Below are 19705 nucleotides of genomic sequence, written 5' to 3' on the forward strand. Positions count from 1 at the left end.
AGAGTCATCATTGTTCAATGATTTCCTTATAACCTATATTAGATTTATTATAGAATATTTTCTCTGAATTCTGAGCATTCAGTTGAAATAAGATACCAAATAGTTCCATTCCAGTTTGCATAAGTATAGCTTGCTAAATTGAAGGTTGGGATCATTAAGAAGAAAGGCGAAGGGTTTCTTTGCCTATCAGGAAACAGAATTATGTTTTTAAAATAAATAACTACAATTCTTGTACTCTTGTTCCACTGACCTTAGAACGCAGTCGACTTTGCTTATTCAACTGCCTTGGGAGACTAAAGCAGTTCTGAGTATCTTGTCCCACATGTACTTTAATGCAGTTTGCCAAGTGTCCATTCACGGTGTCAATCATTTTAGCTAACACTTGAAAGGCTGTGCCCATAAGTCTATTTCCTACAGTGTCAAAACTCAAGAATATCTGCTCCAGTCCTTTCATTAAGCATCTGAGATTATTCTTCTTTTGCTTTCTTCTAGAAGTTTCCATTTCTATCACATAGCTTATAGCTGACACCTTTGAGTAGGTGTGAGGGAAGATTAGAAATCTGTTCTTGACAAGACTGAAACTGGTTTTAGTTATGACTTTTATTAGACGACTAACCAACAACATCAAACAGAAGAAAGTAGGCTACTCTAATAGGTTATCGTTTTCACAAGAAAGTAGTTTAAGTGACTCAAATAGAGGCTAAAGCTTTCTTTTCAGCTAATGCACATCACAAAGCCCCTGAAGGCCACGTAACTCCCAGAGTCAAACAGGATTGGAATTTTATAGGGTGAAGAGAAAGGAGAAGTTAAGTGTCCTTGTAGTTTGGTTCAGGTTTTTGTCTCTAATTGCTATGAAACTTGTAGTTGGAATAGCTGGAGAATGTTCTAGTTTTTCATGCCTGTTATATTGGCAGAGTCTCATCCCAATAGCTATTAGAACAGCATTTTTCAAGAGCTGTTTTTTCAAAGTCTTGTGGCTTGTTGATGTTGCAGGCAGAATTCTAAAATGGTCCATGAGAATCCCACCCATAGGGGTGCACAGTCCTCTTTGAGGGTGGGTGAGATGATGAATATGGTAGATGTCACTCCTGTGACTAGGTTATGTGATGTGGCAAAGGTGAAGGGATTTTGAAAATGTAATGAAAGCTCTTCATCTACTCCCTTTAATTTAATCAAAAGGAAATCATTCTGGGTGGGCTGGCCTAATCACATAAGCCCTTCAAAAGAGACTCAAAGCAGGGGTGATTGTCCTGGGGACTTAAAAAGCAAGCTGATGTGTTGTGAAGGAACAATGGAGGTAGCCATGTGGCAAGGATCTGAGCATGGCTTCTATGAGTTGTGAGCAGAACTCAGATGGCAGCTAGCCAGAAAATGGGGACCTCAAAGACATGGCCTCAAGCAACTGAATTCTGCCAATAACCATCATGAGCTTGCAAGTACAATCTCCCAGCCAAGCCTTCATCTGGCACTGCAGCCTCTCTGGCATTTTAACTGTAGCCTCGTGAAACGCTAAGCAGATGACTCACTGAAGCTGTATCTTCCCTCCTGGCCCAGGGACTGTGAGATAATAAGTGGGTGCTATTTTAAGATGTTGAATTTGTAGTAATTTGTTATGGAGTAATAGAGAACTAATGCACTTAGTAAATCAAGATTCAAGGTGGAAGAAAGAAACGGGGAGCAATAAAGAGGTAAAGGAGGTAAACATCAAAGGGGAGGGTAACTGGAGACCTCTCGTCATCACGGTTCTAATCCTTTGACGTAACTATTTCATAAGAATTTGATCCAATATTACCCTGAGGGCAATAACTTACTTGGATTAGTGAGGGCATTGACAAATTCCTGGAATGCTCTAATCCAGGGATATCCTATCTTTTGGCTTCCCTGGGCCACGTGGAAAAAGAAGGATTCTCTTGGGCCACACATAAAATACATGAAACACTAGCGATAGCCAATGACAAAAAACAAACAAACAAAAAAAAGAAACAACTCAATGTTTTAAGAAGCTTTACGAATTTGTGTTGGGCCACATTCAAAGCAATCCTGGGTCACATGCAGCTCATGGGCCTCAGGATGAACAAGCTTGCTCTAATTTATCTGTAAAGTATTTGTTATGATTGCCCCTAGGTGACAAAGGTATTTGAAATCTGGAAACTAATATTCTTGGAAAGCAACTTTTTGGCAGTCATTCTGTATTTCCCCACAAAAAATGATGATGCATCTACTGTTCTAAAAGGTTAAAAGAGCTGAATTATATCCTTATTAACAATATTTAGGTATGTAATATTATCCAAGAATAGGTTGAGTTTTTCTGTTGGATTAAATGCATTCCCACTCTACAGGCTTGATATCCAGGTAATTTAAACACTACTGTCAGAGCTTATTAAAAACATGGAACATAATAGACACACCTATTTATTTGTGGCATCTCTCCTAGATTTTAAGTACCAAACCATCAAGACTTACAAGGTGACACTATAAACCTTTGGTCCTATCCAAAAGTCATCTGGAAAACATTTGTATAAAAGACACTTTAACATTATTCTAAGTTTGGTAACTGATCTCAGAGCAGGTAAATGTCTAAAAAATTTTCAGATAAGAATAAAAAAGGATAAGAAACAGCTATGGCCTTGGATGTGTTATTAACCAGAATCACAATACCTTATAAAAATTACAATAAAATATTTTCAAAAGCACCTATTAGAAATTTCACCTTCTCCAGAAGCTAATAATGTTTGTGTGTTTATCATTGTCTACATTATTTTTTGAAATTCACAAAACTATGAAAGATAGTTCCTTTTGGGAGTATATAGTTGAGTCACTTGAGGAAAGTAACTGCTTTTGTCAGGATATATGGAAAGTAAATAATAACTTTTCATTGTGTCACTTGAAAATACATCATTTTTCCCTTGAACTACTGTTTCTTATCTCTAACATTCATGAACTCCTTGTTTTAATAATTTTAAAGTGTATTTATACATGTGTTTGAGTCCACTATGTAGTGTGTCGGTGCAGTAGGTAGAGCTTGGCATTCCCAGCCAATAGTGAAGGGGGATCTTGGGAACACAGGTTTAGAGGGAGATGACCTAAGATCAAAGCAGCATACAATTCTAAGCCATCTTATGAAGCACGACTTCCCTCAAGAGCCAGTCCAGAGTAGACTTTATACAATTTAAAATTGCGTTAAGTAACTTCTACTTCTGTCCAAGGTGCAGTAATAGGATTTGCCTTCCCACCCGAAAAGATACAAAATTGACCAAAAAAATGAAGCATAGTTTTTAGGACATTGGCTATCAGACAACAAAGATGAGAGATCCATGAGAGGCATTTTAAAAATTAGGTGGTATCTACTATTGCCTTGCTTAATGCCTTGAAAGAGATTCCAGTGTGAAATGCAGGAATGGGAATCCCATATGAAAACCAGCGGACTCTGTGAGTTTAGAATACAAGGTGGAGAGTGTGGGGAGATCAGAGTGGCCCAAGTTTTCAGGGCAACGTACTAGAGAGATCTGCAAGAGGGTTGCCTTCAACTATTCAGCTGAGTACTTATCAGTGGACATATGTGAGGAAAATATCTAAGGCTGAGGAAAACACAACCCAAAAGGATTAGGAGAAACAATACTAATACCTCACACAGGCTGAGAGTAAAGCCTATTTCCAACAGGCAGGCTGGAAAAAGGAAACTTGTATATCCAGCACCTTCCACAGTTTCTTTGTGTGTGTTAAGAGCACCTAAAATGTGTTCAACAACACAGCGGGATAGGAGGTCCTAGGCTTTACTACTTTATTAGTCCATTCTCACACTGCTATAAAGAACTACCTGAGACTGGGTCACTTATAAGGAAAAGAGATTTAATTGGCTCATAGTTCTGCAGGCTATACAGGCTTCTGCTTCCGGGGAGGCCTCAGGACACTTACGATTGTGGCGGAAGGTAAAGAGGAAGCGGGGACATCGTCACATGGCTGACAGGAAAGAGAGAGTGCAAAGGGGGAGGTGCTACACATCTTCAAACAACCAGATCTAGTGAGAACTCAATCATGAGAACAGCAAGGGGGAAGTCGACACCCATGATTCAATCACTTCCCACCAGGCCCCTCCTCCAACACTGGGGATTACAATTAAACATGGGATTTGGGTGGGGACACAGAGGTAAACCATGTCAACTACCCTCCACAGAAAGTTCAACTAGCAACTAACCACAGACAAGAACACGTTAGTGAAAATCCCAAAGTATGGGAATAGGCTTGAGACACCTATGTAGATGACAAAACCTGAGTAAAGGTAGCATTGAAACCACCTAACCCCTCCCCACGCCCTAAGTCAGCATAACGCTACACAGAGATGATTCCGCAGGGCCCTTGGTTTCTGTAGTGGAAACAGAGAACTGCAGATGGACATCAGCTTCCCTCACATTCTGAGACATTTCCCAGGAAGCCCACTTTGGGCTCAGCTCATGGGGAATTCAGGGGGTAATGGCATGGCTATTCCACCTGAGGTAAAGTAGAAACAAAGCAAGGAGGCAGACCCTGCAGCAACCAAAATGCGGATATTGGTGGTAGCTCTATCACCCTGCCAGCCATGGTGCCAAGTCAGAGGCATCAGCAAACAGCACAGCTCACCTGCAAAGTCAAACTGAGCTCTCTCACCCAGAAGTGGGGGTAAGTCCTACCTCGCTTGCCTCAGACCCTACCCAAATCCACATCCAGGGAAAGAGACACTCACCACTGTGCATTTTGACAAAACGCAGAGGATAGTTTTGCCACACTCAGAAGTATAAACAGTATTCAATATGGCCTCAAAGCCCACCCTAAACCTCCCCACTCAGGGAGGCAGATGATCACCATAGCACATCTCAGCACAGAGCAGAGGCTAATTCTATGACACCTGGAAGTTTAAAAAGCACTCAACTCAGCCTCAAAGCCTACGACAAGGCCCTACCTAGGCAGAGAGAACTCCAACTCTGCATTTTTACTAAGCTTAAGAGGCAATCTCATCCATCCCAAGCAGCCACTTGTCTTAACCTCAGGGCGACTACTGTGATCCTGTTCAACTGTGGAACCCAAACAACGTTACCCCCTGGCCAGGGACTACATCCTGTTGCGCACCCTGGTCAGAAGCAATTGCAGTGTCCATCTGTCAGCTCTGCCTGATTGCAGAGCCCAGCCAGCTACCCCACCTGAACTTACATACCTTTCTATCTTTGTTATCCATGGCTTTCTTCCAACCACTCACCACGCCAGTCAGCCTGGTTCCTTTGCTCTACCACTACTTTTTCTGCTCTGTTTTCTTCCTAAGCACTGCTACATGCACCTGCCACAGCTCCCACCTTTCCCGCATGGAACATCAAGTCCTTCAAGGCTCTCTCATTGCAACTCTTATTTGAAATACCGCCCATGAAATCATGCTTGGTTGACTCAGGCCTCAAAGATTGTTGGCAGCTGTGAGGTGCCAGAGCCCTCACTTAGCACATGTCTTTGCAACTTAAAGTGTGGCCAGCTGGAGCAGGCACATCAGCATCACCTGGGAGCTCGTTAGTAAATCAATCTGAATTGTTAGTCAATCAAGCTGAATTCTAACAAAATACAGGTGATTTATACACACATCTGCATTTGGGAGGCACTGATCAGTGCCCCCTTGCTTTTTTGATTATCTTTTCCAGGGAGGTGCTGTTTTAACTGAACTAGCTATGACACTGCATGTCTGAACAACCCACCATGATTCTCTGCACTTGGGAGGGTTTGATATAATTTTTACTGATACTAACAAGGAAGTCTCATAAACACTAGTGAAACTGACATCTTCCTAATGACTTTATTCTGACTTTGTTCTTGTCATCCCTCTGTCAGTGGACAAAGGAATATGCCACATGTTCCAGATTTCTGACATCAAGAGCATAATGAACAGCCTCTTCCTTCCAAGATCTAAGCCATTCAATCATATTTTGTTCAACCTAAACAACCAACAGATAACACAACCTCATAGCTTGATAAAATAAATATGGGATAGAGTCTGCAGTAATTTTCTAAGAATCCCCAAACAATGTACCACATGCTGAGTGGCTTAAACCACAGAAACTTATTTTCTCACAGTTTTGGAGGCTAGAAGTCAGATTAAAGTGCTGTCATCTGTGCCATGCCTCTCCCTACCTTCTGGTGACGTGGTGGCAATCTTTGCCATTCCTGGACTTGTAGAAGCATCACTCTGATCTCTGCCTTCATCTTTACATGACGTTCTCCCTGCGGGCATGTCTATCTCCAAATTTCCCCTTTTTATAATATTGGATCAGGGTCTACCTAATGACTTTGTTTTAACTTAATTACCTCTGTAAAGATTTTGTTTTCAAGTAAAGTCACATTCTGAAGTGTTGGGGATTAGGACTTCAACATATGAATGGGGCAAGAGAGCATGCTTTAACCCATAACAGAGTCTAAAACCTTTCTGAATGTAGATTGTGTGTGTGTGTGTGTGTGTGTGTGTGTGTGTGATATCTCATGTGTGTTATATCTCTCAGGGTTTTTAGGAAGCTGGTGTAGAACAGAGACCAGTTGGTTTAAAATACTGGTTAGACAATACTGGGCAAAGCTAAGAACTGATCCTAAAGACTTGAAGCAGCGAGAAATCTCAACACCTCTAGCCACATTAGCCTAAAAATATCCTTGGTAGAAGTTGACCACTGTCAAGAGCTTTGGCTTCTTTCACCTGTAGGGAAGCTCAACCCTGTTCTTTCTGGACACTACCACCAGTTTTAATGGCCTGTCGTTTACTTTAACTGGACTGCATGTTTGCAGCAGCGTAGATTGCCAGGGGTGAACTGGGGAGTTCATAGTAAGATTCCAGATGCCCGAAGCCTCAATAGCTGCTCACTGTTATTATCTTCCCCCAAGTGTTACACGAACAGTGGCCTCAGTCATAGAATAAGGATGGAGGGTGAGGAAGCCAGACTTTTTCATGCTGTCTTGATTGAATATACATTGAGTACTGATATGCCCACATTTAACTGGCACTACATTTGAGATGATATCTAGCTAATGGCCAGTTATCACATAGAAAAAGACTGAGGAGAGGCTTATAATTAAGAGGGACATGGGCAAAATCCCAAAAGACCTTATGCATCTTATTTTTATATGATAGAAAAGTAGATTGAACCCTATCAAATATGTCCTACCAAAAATAATCTTGTAAGCATGCTTTAGGAAGTATGGTGATCAGGAAAGAATTTTCAGAAATTACTTGATTTTCTCCCAAGATTTATAAATACTAGAGCCCTGAAGGATGGAGGATGTTCAAGTAGTTTTTATTTCATTACTTTATTTTTAAATTTTATTTATTTATTCTTGAGATGGAGTCTCAGTCTGTCACCCAGGCTGGAGTTCAGTGGCATGACCTCGGCTCACTGCAACCTCCGCCTCCCAGGTTTAATTGATTCTCCTGCCTCAGCCTCCAGAGCAGCTAGGATTACAGGTGCGTGCCACCATGCTCAGATAATTTTTTTATTTTTAGTAGAGACGGGGTTTCACCATGTTGGCTAGGCTGGTCTCGAGCTCCTGACCTCAGGTGATCCATCCACCTCAGCCTCCCAAAATGCTGGGATTAGAGGGGTGAGCCACCGTGCCGAGCCTATTTCATTACTTGAAAGGTAGAGTTTCTCCCCTCCAGTTTAGGATTTTTTTTTTTTTATTGTCATTATTATTTGGTAAAGATGTTGTGAGACAGTTTGCAGCCTTTCAAGTCACAGAAACAACTGTTCAGGATATTTTGTTGCATTTGGTATTGGCTAAGCTTCTTTTATTATGAAATTCCTTTTTCATCCTTAAAAAGAAAAGGACCTTAGGTCTCTTTCCCATCTGCTTCTATGAAAGGAGGCAGAGTTTTAATGAGCACGTTGGCTGACTGCAGCTCAAGTGGAAGAAATTAAATGTTCCACGTTTCATTTGCTTTTGCAAGAGCGAAACTTACATAGCAACCTGTGTTCAGTGCTGTGCTCCAGGATTCCACAGAAAAGAATAGAATTACAGCAACCATTTACTGCTTCGGAGAGTCAGAGGCACTCATAATCCAGATAAGACAAGATGACTGGACCCGCTGCTGGCCAATCTTGGGCTGCCACATTCCACAAGAAAATGCAGTCCAACAAGATTTGTAAAATCAAATAAGGAGAATTTGGGATTTATAAAGCACTGGCGTGTGAGTCAAGTTTCCTAGAATAATTCCCAAATGAAACTCTGTGGTTTAATTTCCTTCAAGAGTTAACAGGGAGAGTGTTGCCTCCTAAATATCCCCTTGCAGATTAACTGCTTTTGGCATCATTCACACTGATCATGCCAGGAATTGTTTCCCAAGTGACCCTCCACAGACCACCTGCATCAATGTCTCCTGGGTGCTGATTAAAGGGGAAGATTTGGCCGTGCGTGGTGGCTCACGCCTGTAATCCCAGCACTTTGGGATGATGAGGTGAGCTGATCACCTGAGGTCAGGAGTTCGAGACCAGCCTGGCCAACATGGTGAAACCCCATCTCTACTAAAAGTACAAAAATTAGCTGGGCATGGGGTCGCGTGCCTGTCATCCCAGATGCCTGAGAGGCTGAGGCAGGAGAATCGCTTGAACCACGGAGGCAGAGGTTGCAGTGAGCCGAGTTCACGCCACTGCACTCCAGCCTGGGCAATAGAGCAAGATCCTATCTCAAAAACATAAAAAATAAATTTTTAAAAAAGGGAAGATTTGGGGGTCCCTTTCTTACACTGTGGAATCAGGATTTCAGGGGGTGGGGCTTGGATATCTGGGGTTTTAACAAGAACTCCTATGGTTCTTATACACACTGAAGTTTGCAAACCACTGAGCCAGGGTCTCTCCTCTCACTCTCCAAGTCCTAGGAGGAGATTTGGTACCAAATCACTTAAGCAAGGCTAAAGAAAGAGGACACTGCTGCTGTCAACCCTGGACCCAGGGCACACTAGCATCACTGCTACTACTTCCCTTGGAAGAAGGATGTCACTCTTAAAATCCCAACCAGTAGCAGAGAGGGGTGGCTGGCTTCATTGTCCATGCTTCTTTGCCTAGCCACCCCAGGCAGGGATAACTGACAACTTGACCCTAGATCACATGGCATAGACCTGGGAAAATAAATGCTTAAGGTCTTCAGCATCCTGGAGCAAGAGGGAGATTCATATAGTAAAGAACTGTCTAAACATAGGTAAAGAGTTGTCAGAGTTTTAAAAATAACAACAAGAGGATAGAGAGCCTGAAATGAGAGGTTAGCCACACATGCTACAACCTTTGCAGCAGAAAATAAAGCCTGAGAGTTGGAGCTCTGAATCCAGAGAGTCCTTCTTGGTGAATGCCGAGGGCTGGTTAGAAAATCCTTCCAAAGAGGCTCACAGAACTCTTCCTTGCTGATCTGCCTTCAAAAAGCCACTACTTAAGTCCTCTTTTCTCTCATGATTAAGTCCAAATCACTGATGCTTTACATGTGTTGGTGGCCTTCTGTCTCCAGCCCTTTAACTTTTCATTCTAGGAGGAGTTTTAGGCTTCCTAGGTTATCTTATCTTTCTCCCCTGGGTTCTTTCTTCACTTTCTGTGATTCTTGTATAATTGAATATGGCCATGCTAATTTTACAAGTCAACAGGAGCTCAGAAATGGTGCATAAAAATGAAGGTCATGTAGCTAACGATGTCACAGGTGAAGGTAGGAGTGAGTCCTATATGTTTTAGACTTCTATAAGCCCAGGGAGAAAACTCTCTTTTCTAGGCCTTTGACATCCTCAGTCATTTTTATACACCATCCCCACCTATCTGTATTTTGCACGCCCCATTATGCTTAGCTGGACTGATGACAGTCTTCCTAGAAGCTGTAACCCTTTCCACATCGATTGCACTCTTTCTGTGTCATTTCTCCCAGGTAGAGTCAAGTTGGACTTGCTCCCTAATAATTTCTATTCAGTGTTTCGTTCTAGGCATTTACCAACTTGATATCACTTAATCTTATAAAGGAAAAAATCAAGATTCAGAGAAACAAGGTAAATTATCTAAGGCTACATATTTAAATAAATGATAGAACAAAAATCCAACCTGGGTCTAACGTCTGTGGTTTTCTGCTCCATCACACGGCTTCCTACACTATATTGGAATGAAAATATAATGGTGGAATATCTAATGACAGATAAAGATGAAAATGTTATAGACGAAGAGATCCCTAAAACGATGCCATGATGGTGGTGATCTAGTTTGCATCTAGGTAATACAGCCTTACACACACACACACACACACACACACACACACACACACATCTCCTTTTTTGTCCCTCCAAGTCTTGGTGATTCCTCTACCTTTTCAACTGCAATAGGAATTCGGTATTACTGTTTATTAGGAGCTAGGATAGGCAGTTACATATATTATCTCTAATTTTTACAATAACCCTACAAGTTATCTTATCCCTACTTAAGAGAATTAAGCTGAACCACATGGAAATTGGCAGAGCTCCCAACTTACCTGGTCTGACTCCCACAGTCGGCTTCCTCCACTCCTTGAGGCCATATTGTTTCACTCAGATAATTCATTGACATCACTTATGGAGGAAATGAAAAGTTGAAAAATAAATGTATTCGTCAGGTGCGGTGGCTCACACCTGTAATCCCAGTGCTCTGGGAGGCGAAGGCTGGTGAATCACTTGAGGCCAGGAGTTTGAGACCAGCCTAGTCAGCATGGTGAAACCCTGTCTCTACAAAAAATACAAAACTTGGCCGGGCATGGTGGTGTATGCCTGTAATCTCAGCTACTCGGGAGGCTGAGGCACGAGAATTGCTTGAACCCAGGAGACAGTCAGCAGAGATGGTGCCACTGCACTCCAGCCAGGGCAATGAAGCGAGACTCTGTCTCAAAAATAAGTAAGAAAATCAATAAATAAATGTATTGTCTACCCCGTTTGGTGCACCTGCATTGTAAATGCTTGTTGCACTGTCACACTGTTTCTAACTCCCTCACATTGCATTGTATAGTGTCTAACGCTTAAGAAATGGTGGAGTTGGTGATGATAATTATAAACCAAGTTTAAAGATAGAAATTGTCATAGCATTATTTTAGGAATGATGATCCACTGGTTGTTCAGAGGACTAGTTAATATATTAACTAGTAATATATGTATATGTATGTGCATACATAATATATACACATGTGTATATATAGCATATACACATACATATATGTATATATAATATATACGTTATACAAATATAAAAGTTAATATAAATATATGTATATGTGTACATAATATATACATGTATATATAATATATACACATATATATGTATATATAATACATACAAGTGTATATAATATATGCACATACGTATATACACATATTATATATACACATACGTATATCATTATTGAGAGTGTGTATATATATATATATATATATATATATACACACACACAAAGTTCGGGAAGAACAGAAATCTGTTAGTGTACTGAATTTCATACAAATATTCATATATATTCTTCATTTTACTTGCTTTTTAAAGGAAAATTGCTTTTCAATATGTACAAAGTAGAAACTTGGTCCTAATTGGGCAATCCAATTGAATCAGAACTGAAAGTTCCCGTTCAGAATAGTCAGTGCCTCCTGTTTGATCTGGAGTAGAACACTCAATGAGTGCTCACTCACCGAGAAGGTTGGTTTGTGAGGAATTTTTCTTGTTTTCTTTGGCAGGCTGTTAAATGTGATGGTTTTCATTTGCTCAGCCTTTCAAAAAAAAATCTTTACCTCTTACGATTTTTGACCAATGTATAATGTTGCCAATTTACTGGATTTTTTGCTTACCATAACTTACTTCTCAGAAATTTATGTTGAAATTCCTGTCAATGGCTAAGAAGCCAGCTGTTGAAGAAAAGACAGAGATTCCTATACAAGCTGCTAACCAGTACTGAGCACATTTCTCAGAGGCTTTCTGCAACGATTTAGCAGTCGGGGGAACTCATGGCTAAGTTACTCAGTGTTTCAAACTCTTGGTAACCCTTCTAAGGCTGATGCCAAAGCTTATGCAGAGAGGAGAATATGATGTTGTAGTTGCTGTGACTGCCTATGATGAAGAAAGGCCTTAATGGGCACTGAAGCCACTTCTTGAAATACACTTTTAAAACATTCTTTATAAATCATGAAAGGTAATATCAAGACTATTTATCAGCACTCTCAGTGTCCACTTATTTAAATTTCCCCGAAGTCTTAGAAGGGAATAAAGATGTGGGTTGCTCTACAATAATTCATGCTTTTGAGTACATTGTTCTACAAAAGTGTATACTTTTCTCTCAAGTCATTTGTGAGCAACTCAAGGTCAAGGGCGGCATCACTTTCCTGGGTGTCTCCACTAATACAGCAGAGAGTCCCTGGGAAAACTTGACTACATAAAGAGAGCATGAAGGCAGGCTGGGACCAAGTACACTCTGTGATACAGTAAAACAGAAGGTTTTGGCAAGGGAAATGCCTGCCTCTCCACAGGAACAAAACCAGTGGTGCACAGCAGATATTTGGATTTTCTGAGACAGACCTGAGTAAGAAATGTCTGTGTAGCATAAAGACACATTTAACAGCTTTCCAAAACATCTGGGTTTTTGCCATGCAGAGTATCTGTGAAGTCTGGGGTACATGGCTTTAACTTCCCAAACCCTCAGATTTGCCTTGTGGTATCCAAATCACATAATACTAACCTGCCTCATCAGGAAGCTGGGAGGCAGAGCTCAGGAAGGACTTTGGGCCAGGCACAGTGGTTCACACCTATAATCCCGGCTCTTTGGGAGGCCAAGGAAGGAGGATCACTTGAGCCCAGAAGTTGGAGACTACTCTGGGCAACATAGTGAGACCCCCATCTCTATAAAAGTAAAAAATAAAAAAAAATGAGCCAGGTATGGTGGGCGCCTGTAGTCCCAGGTACTCAGGAAGCTGAGGCAAGAGGGTTGCTTGAGCCCCGGAGTTTGAGGTTACAGGGAGCTATGATCATGCCACTGCACTTTAGCCCGAGTGACAGAGCAAGACCCTATCTCTGAAAAAGAAAGGACTGTGAAGGTATAAATTCCAAATTCTTGACAGAGCCATGGAAAATTTATCACATTGAAATTGTGAATTGATTTACTGTCTTATTTTGGGCTAGTGATGGAATTAAGATCTCCCAGGAACAGCATGATGAATTGGCTCAGAGCAAGAAACTTGTGCACAGTTCCTCTGAGAACTTGGCCAGGGAAGTGATTATTTTTGCTTTATTTTTTCATTGTGCCCTGGTCCACAGAATCCATTCTCCTTCTTGGTGTTTGAGTGTCATCAAACAGACAACACTGTAATGTCTTAATAGCTACGGGATGGCTTCTCTCCTTTATTATTCATTACATGGGATCTGGTCAACCCTTGGGAATACAGAGAAATTGGCAAAGCTGTCTTTACAGTGTGGAGCCTTCCTATTTTCTTCCTTTGGTGAGGACAATATTAACTCATAAAGGAATCCAGGTTGCTCAGACATACTTGCCTTAGAAAACTTAGTACCAAGAAAGGACCTAGTACATTAATCTTACAGTAATTTTCACAGAGGGGCAAGTAAGCAGCTAGTGGAGATGAAAAAGTGTTTGCTTGGGTCAGGAGGCCTACGTCTAAACCAACTGTGCACTTGCAAGCTGGGTCATTTGGGATACAGTTTTAAGCTTTGATCTGATTCAGTTCAGACGACACATTATCATGCAGAAGAAAATGCATCAAGATTTAACTTGAAATGACCTCTGTAGGTTCTATGTATTGAACCTGGAAAGATGTGTTGTGCTATGTGAAAAAAAGCATGTTGCAGAATAACATGCATAGTGCTATTCATTCTGTGTAAAGAAAGAAGGAAGGAGGGAGGAAAGAGGCAAATCAGGGCAGAATGAAACTTCAATGTTCTATTTTGTTTTTTAAAACATCCTAATAATACAGAAGTGTATAGATAGCATTATATTAGTTCTGTTTTCTAAATTACTGTATTAGTCTGTTCCACATTGCTAATAAAGACATAACTGAGACTGGGTAATTTACAAAGAAAAAGAGCTTTAATGGACTCACAGTTCCACATGGCCAGCCATGTGGAACCTCACAATCATGGCAGAAGGTGAAGGAGGGGCAAAGGCACATCTTACATGGCAGCAGGCAAGAGAGCGTGTGTAGGGAAACTGCCCTTTGTAAAACTATCAGCTCTGGTGAAACTTATCACAAGAACAGGATGGGAAAAACCCACCCTCATGATTCAATTACTTCCCACAGCATCCCCCCCATGACATGTGGAGATTATGGGAGCCACTATTCAAGATGAGATTTGGGTGGGGACACAGCCAAATCATACCAATTACCAAACAATGATAAACTATTTTTTCCAGTTATGGGTCCCACTTACACAGTGAATTGATCCATGATCAGTATCTGTTTGATCTGAATGCATTTTTACTTACATGGTCATCACAAATATAGCTGCAGAGACAACATTCCCAGACAAACTATGGTTCTAGTACCATGTTGTTCTGTGCAAGAGTCTAGGGCAGTTTCCTAACTTAATTTCTTGAGTCTAGTATTCCAGGCATTCAATCCACTACACTCCATATCCATCTAGCCTCAACATTACCCTGTGGTTTCAGGGAAGCTGGTCTTTGTTTTGCGACACTGTCCTGCTTCAGGAATAACCCCTTCTCAGGAAGAATCTCCTGCCACCTCTTCCAATCACACCTTTTTTTTTCCCCACTTCCTCATACATTTATATTATTCTTAAACATTAATTATAAAGGTAAAATATATTTATTGAGAAAATCCAGAAAGTAAAGTCTAAAGAAGAAAATTAAAATAACCTGTCACCACTTTCCGCTAACATTTTAGTGTATGACCATCTAATCATTTTTCCATTTCTCCCACACTTTTCATTAGCAAACTTTAGACTGTAAACTTTACAAACATTCTCTAACTTGATTTAAAAGTTAAGATAACTTGGGAATTTTCCCAAGTCATTTTGTTTTCTCCACAGTATGATTCCATGAATGTATCTTAATTTATTTAACTGCCCTCTAAATCAGGATGTTTAATTTGTTGCAAGCATTTTATTGTGATAAAAAGTGCTACAGTAAATATCCTTGAAAAAGTCTCTAATTAGGTCATGAAATTAAATTCTGAGAAACAAAATTACTAGATTATGAGAAAGAAATGTGTTCAAAGATTTTTCAACCACACTGACAAATGATTATCCAGAAATTTCGTAGAATTCAATTTCCACCAGCAGCCAATACATGTTGTTGCTATACACTTTCATCAATGCTGCTCCAGCATTTCTTTTAGGACTGGGTCAAGGCTCATTGCCTCATAAATGACTAAACTTTCGAGTCTGAATGCAATCATCTCCTGCTCTCTCACATCTTTCCACCATCCCCAGTGTTGATATAAATCCTAGAATATTGTTTGATTTATTTGTTCGATTGTCTTTCAAGTTACGTGATTCTCTGCAATCATCCCACAAGTCTTTTAAAGGAGAACATTTTCTTTTTTGCGGGGCAGGACATTTTCAATGTCTTTTGTATACTACATAATTTTAGTTGATTCCATTTCCCTCTAAACTTTACCAATAGTTTATCACAGATTAGAGAATTATTCTCCCGGAGACTATATCTCAGTGCATAATTGTTTTTCACTATCTGACAAAATGTCTAGCAAAATTCATCCGAAGACATAATTCACTATCACTGGATGTCACATGATGAGATAAATCCAGGAGAAACTGTAGCCATCTTTCTGATTTATAGACCAGTTGTATGAATCATAAAATAGCTCCTCTTTGCACATAACCATATATAATTTTTGGTTGCATCTAAAAGGTCATTTCACCTTCAGCGTATCTCTCAATCTCGATAGAGCTGAAACTGAACACAAGGAAAAGTGAAGAACTCCAAATTGATGTGTAACATTTTCCAAACAGAAAAAAACTTCATCTGAACCAACTGCCAAAAACTCTTTCTCCTCTTTCTTATTATCAAATTACTAACAGTCTTAAGCCAACCTTGTTTGTCGAATGTTGAGAAACATGTGACTTGTGCCTCAGTGTTCTTGGCTTGATAAGGATCTCCAGGAGCAACAACAAGAGAAAGCTACTGGTGAAGTTAGCCAGGAAATACAGAGGTAGAATACAAACAAAGCCACCCAAGGACTGATTCAATTTACTGGTAGAAATGTTATATTATTTTTTTAAAAACCGAAAGTACAATAAAACCCAGTGGGAAACCATGGACTTGGCTGTTGAGATTATTAACGACAGCAGTTTGGGAACAAGCTGCTCTCAGCATGATTCTGACTTGAAATGTGACTGTGGCACAGATTGCTATTGATGTACATGAGGGCGGATTTTCTACGATCTGTAGTCCTAGATCCCCTACTTCTAATTTTGAACAACCTGGAGCTTACCTCAGCTAGAACTTGGTAGGATCTCTATCCACAACTATCTTGATTAGTCACCTTAAGTTACATAAAGCTAAACTAAAGCCCTCTTGCCACCAGAATTTTCAAGTAAAATTCTCTCTCTGGTAAATCTCAATTTTCACCAAATTATTAACTTCAATTTGACACTATTAATATGATGCCCCATTGATATGTTTAAAGAGTAGTCTACTCCCACCTCTTTTTAAGAGACACAGCCTACGTCGTTCAAATTATAATGCCATTGGTTTGCTGGATATTGCCCCAAAATGTGATGCCAAGTTCTTTTTTCAACTGAAGATCTGGAGATCTCAACAGAGCACAGGCTCCAAGGATAGAGTGGGCTTCAAGCTGTTTTCTCTGAAAATCCTGGATTCAAACACAGACCCCCTCAAGGAATACTGGTTAGACTCCTTAATTTTTGTGCGTGTGTGTGTGTGTGTGGGGGGGTGTTTTTGTAGAAATCGTTTTATTTTTGATATTCAATTTGGGGGTACATGTGCAGGTTTGTTACATGGGTATATTGCATGATGCTAAAGTTTGGGGTATGGATGATCCCATCACCCAGAAGTGAGTATGTTACCCAATAGGTAGTTTTTCAGCCCACACTCCCCACTCCCTTGCCACTCTACTATTCCCCAGTATCTACTGTTCCCATCTTTATGTTCATGTACACTCGGTGCTTAGTTCCTACTTACAAGTGAGAACATGCAGTGTTTGCTTTACTATTCCTGCTTTAATTCACAGAATAAAAGCCCCCAGCTGTGTCCATGTTGCTCAAAGGACACGATTTCATTCTTTGTATGGCTGCATAGTATTCCATGGTGTATAAGTAACACATATTCTTTATCCAGTCCACCACTGATGGACAACTAGGTTGCAACTAGGTTAATTCCATGTCTTTGCTATTGTGAAGAGTGCTGTGACAAGCATATGAGTGTGCACATCTTTTTGGTAGAACGATTTATTTTCCTTCGGATATATACCCAGTAATAGGATTGCTAGAACGAATGGTAGTCCTAAGTTCTTTAAGAAATCTCCAAGTGCTTTCCAGAGTGGCTGAACTAATTTGCATTCCCACCAACACTATATGAGCTTTCTATTTTCTCTGCAATCTCACTAGCATCTGTCATTTTTTGACTCTTTAATAATTGCCATTCTGACTTATGGGAGATGGTATCTCACTGCGGTTTTGATTTGCATTTCTCTGATGATTAGTGATGATGAGCAGTTTTTCATCTGTGTTGGCTGCTTGTATGTCTTCTTTTGAGAGGTGCCTGTTCATGTCGTTTGTCAATTTCTACACTGGATTATTTATTTTTTGCTTGTTAAGTTCTCTATAGATTCTGGATATTAGACCTTTGTCAGATGGGTAGTTTGGGAATATTTTCTCTCTTTCTGTAGGTTGTCTGTTTAGTAATTTCTTTTGCTGTGCAGACATCCTTTAGTTTAATTAGGTCCCACTTGTCAATTTTTGGTTTTGTTGCCATTGCTTTTGGGGGCTTAGCCATGAGTTCTTTGCCAACGCCAATATCTAGAAGGATATTTCCTAGGTTTTCTTTAGGATATTTATAGTCTGAGTTCTTGTAGTTAAATCTTTAGTCCATCTTGAGTTAATTTTTATATACAGTGAAAGGTAGGGGCCCAGTTTCATTCTTCTGCATATGGCTAGCCAGTTATCTCAGCAGCACTTATTGAATAGGGAGTCCTTTCCCCATTGCTTATTTTTCTTGACCTTAATGAACATCAGATGGTTGTAGGTGTGCCGATTTCTAGGTTCTCTATTCTGTTGCATTGGTCTATGTGTCTGTTTTTGTACTAGTTCCATGCTGTTTTGATTAGTGGAGCTGTATAGTATAGTTCGAAAATGGGTAATGTGATACCCCCTGCTCTATTCTTTTTGCTTAGAATTGCTTTGGCTATTGATGATCTTTTTTGGTTTATATGGGTTTTAGAATAGTTTATTTCTGTGTAAAATGATGTTGGTATTTGATAGGAGTAGCATTGAATCTGTAAATTGCTTTGAGCAATATCATTTTAATGATATTGGTTCTTCCAGTCCATGATCATGGAATATTTTTCCATTTGTCTGTGACATCTCTGATTTCTTTCTGCAGTGTTTTGAAGTTCTCTTTGTAGAGGTCTTTCATCTTTTTGGTTAGATGTATTCCTAGGCATTTCATTTTTCTTGTGGCTATTATAAATGAGGTTATATTCTTGATTTGGCTCTCAGCTATAAAGTTACTGATGTATAGCAATGCTGCCGACTTTTGTACTGATTTTGTACATTGATTTTGTACTCCTTAACTTTACTGAAGTTGTTTATCAGTTCTAGGGGTCTTTTGGCGGGACTCCTTAATTTTCATAACAAAATACTAACCTTGTCACCTGTTCCCCGGAACTAAAGTTAAGCAACGGACTTTAGTCAGCAAATTAAAGTCAGATTAAAGTTATCTATATATCAAGCCTTCACCAAAGAGTAGACACTCAAAACTTGGTTCTACAATGCACACCAAAGAGGCCCAGGTGAGCAAATTTATCTTTGAGGATATTACCATAAAGAAATGCTATCTATTTCCTCTGCACATATTCTTAATTCCATTTAGGGGTAAGATGTTAAAATATAAAAAGCTACACTCTTGAAGTATATTACATTTGAGCCTGGAAATTAGTCTTTATTGAATTACGTTTTAATGCTATACCTTCAAATTTTAAAACGAATCCCAACAAATGACAACTTCATAAACTCCAGCTCTTGAATTTGTTGGTAAATTGGGTTTGGGTTATTATACTCTACATAGCCAAATATGCCATCTACAGTGCATGGGCCGAGTGAGATGGGCATAGCAGGTATAATTATGTTCATATTACGGATAATATACACACTTACCCCAGAATCACACAGCCAAAAAAAAATAGGGTTGTATTCAACATCTGAATCCCTCTCCAGTGAGCATTCTATAATGCCATAATGCTCCTTCCTCTCTTATCCATTGGGCAGGCTCCTTCCCCTACTTTGTTCAATCCTATCTGAGGACCAATTTAATATTTCACAGAATTTCTTGTGCTTTCTACACAAAAAAGAGATAATAGAGTCTCAGTTTGAGTTTAATTGAGGATGCTCTCATAGAATCACTTTATACAAATGTACACTTCCTCTAATACCCTTTATACAGTAAACAAATCATTCCTTTATACAGCTAATTTACAAATCATTCCTTCTTGCTTCCTTCTATTCCCTCACCAGTCTTT

At 39.9% G+C, this 19705-nt stretch overlaps 1 annotated feature.

Moving 5' to 3' along the window:
* Window positions 1337–1631: a silencer, noted in NCBI's record as "tiled region #9780; HepG2 Repressive non-DNase unmatched - State 23:Low, and K562 Repressive non-DNase unmatched - State 24:Quies". NCBI's record gives its function as "represses a minimal TATA promoter and a strong SV40 promoter by Sharpr-MPRA in HepG2 and K562 cells {active_cell/tissue: HepG2 | K562}" and the evidence as "EXISTENCE:reporter gene assay evidence [ECO:0000049][PMID:27701403]".

The sequence above is a fragment of the Homo sapiens genome, chromosome 8, assembly GCF_000001405.40.
Source record: "Homo sapiens chromosome 8, GRCh38.p14 Primary Assembly".
NCBI classification, from domain to species: Eukaryota; Metazoa; Chordata; class Mammalia; order Primates; family Hominidae; genus Homo; species Homo sapiens.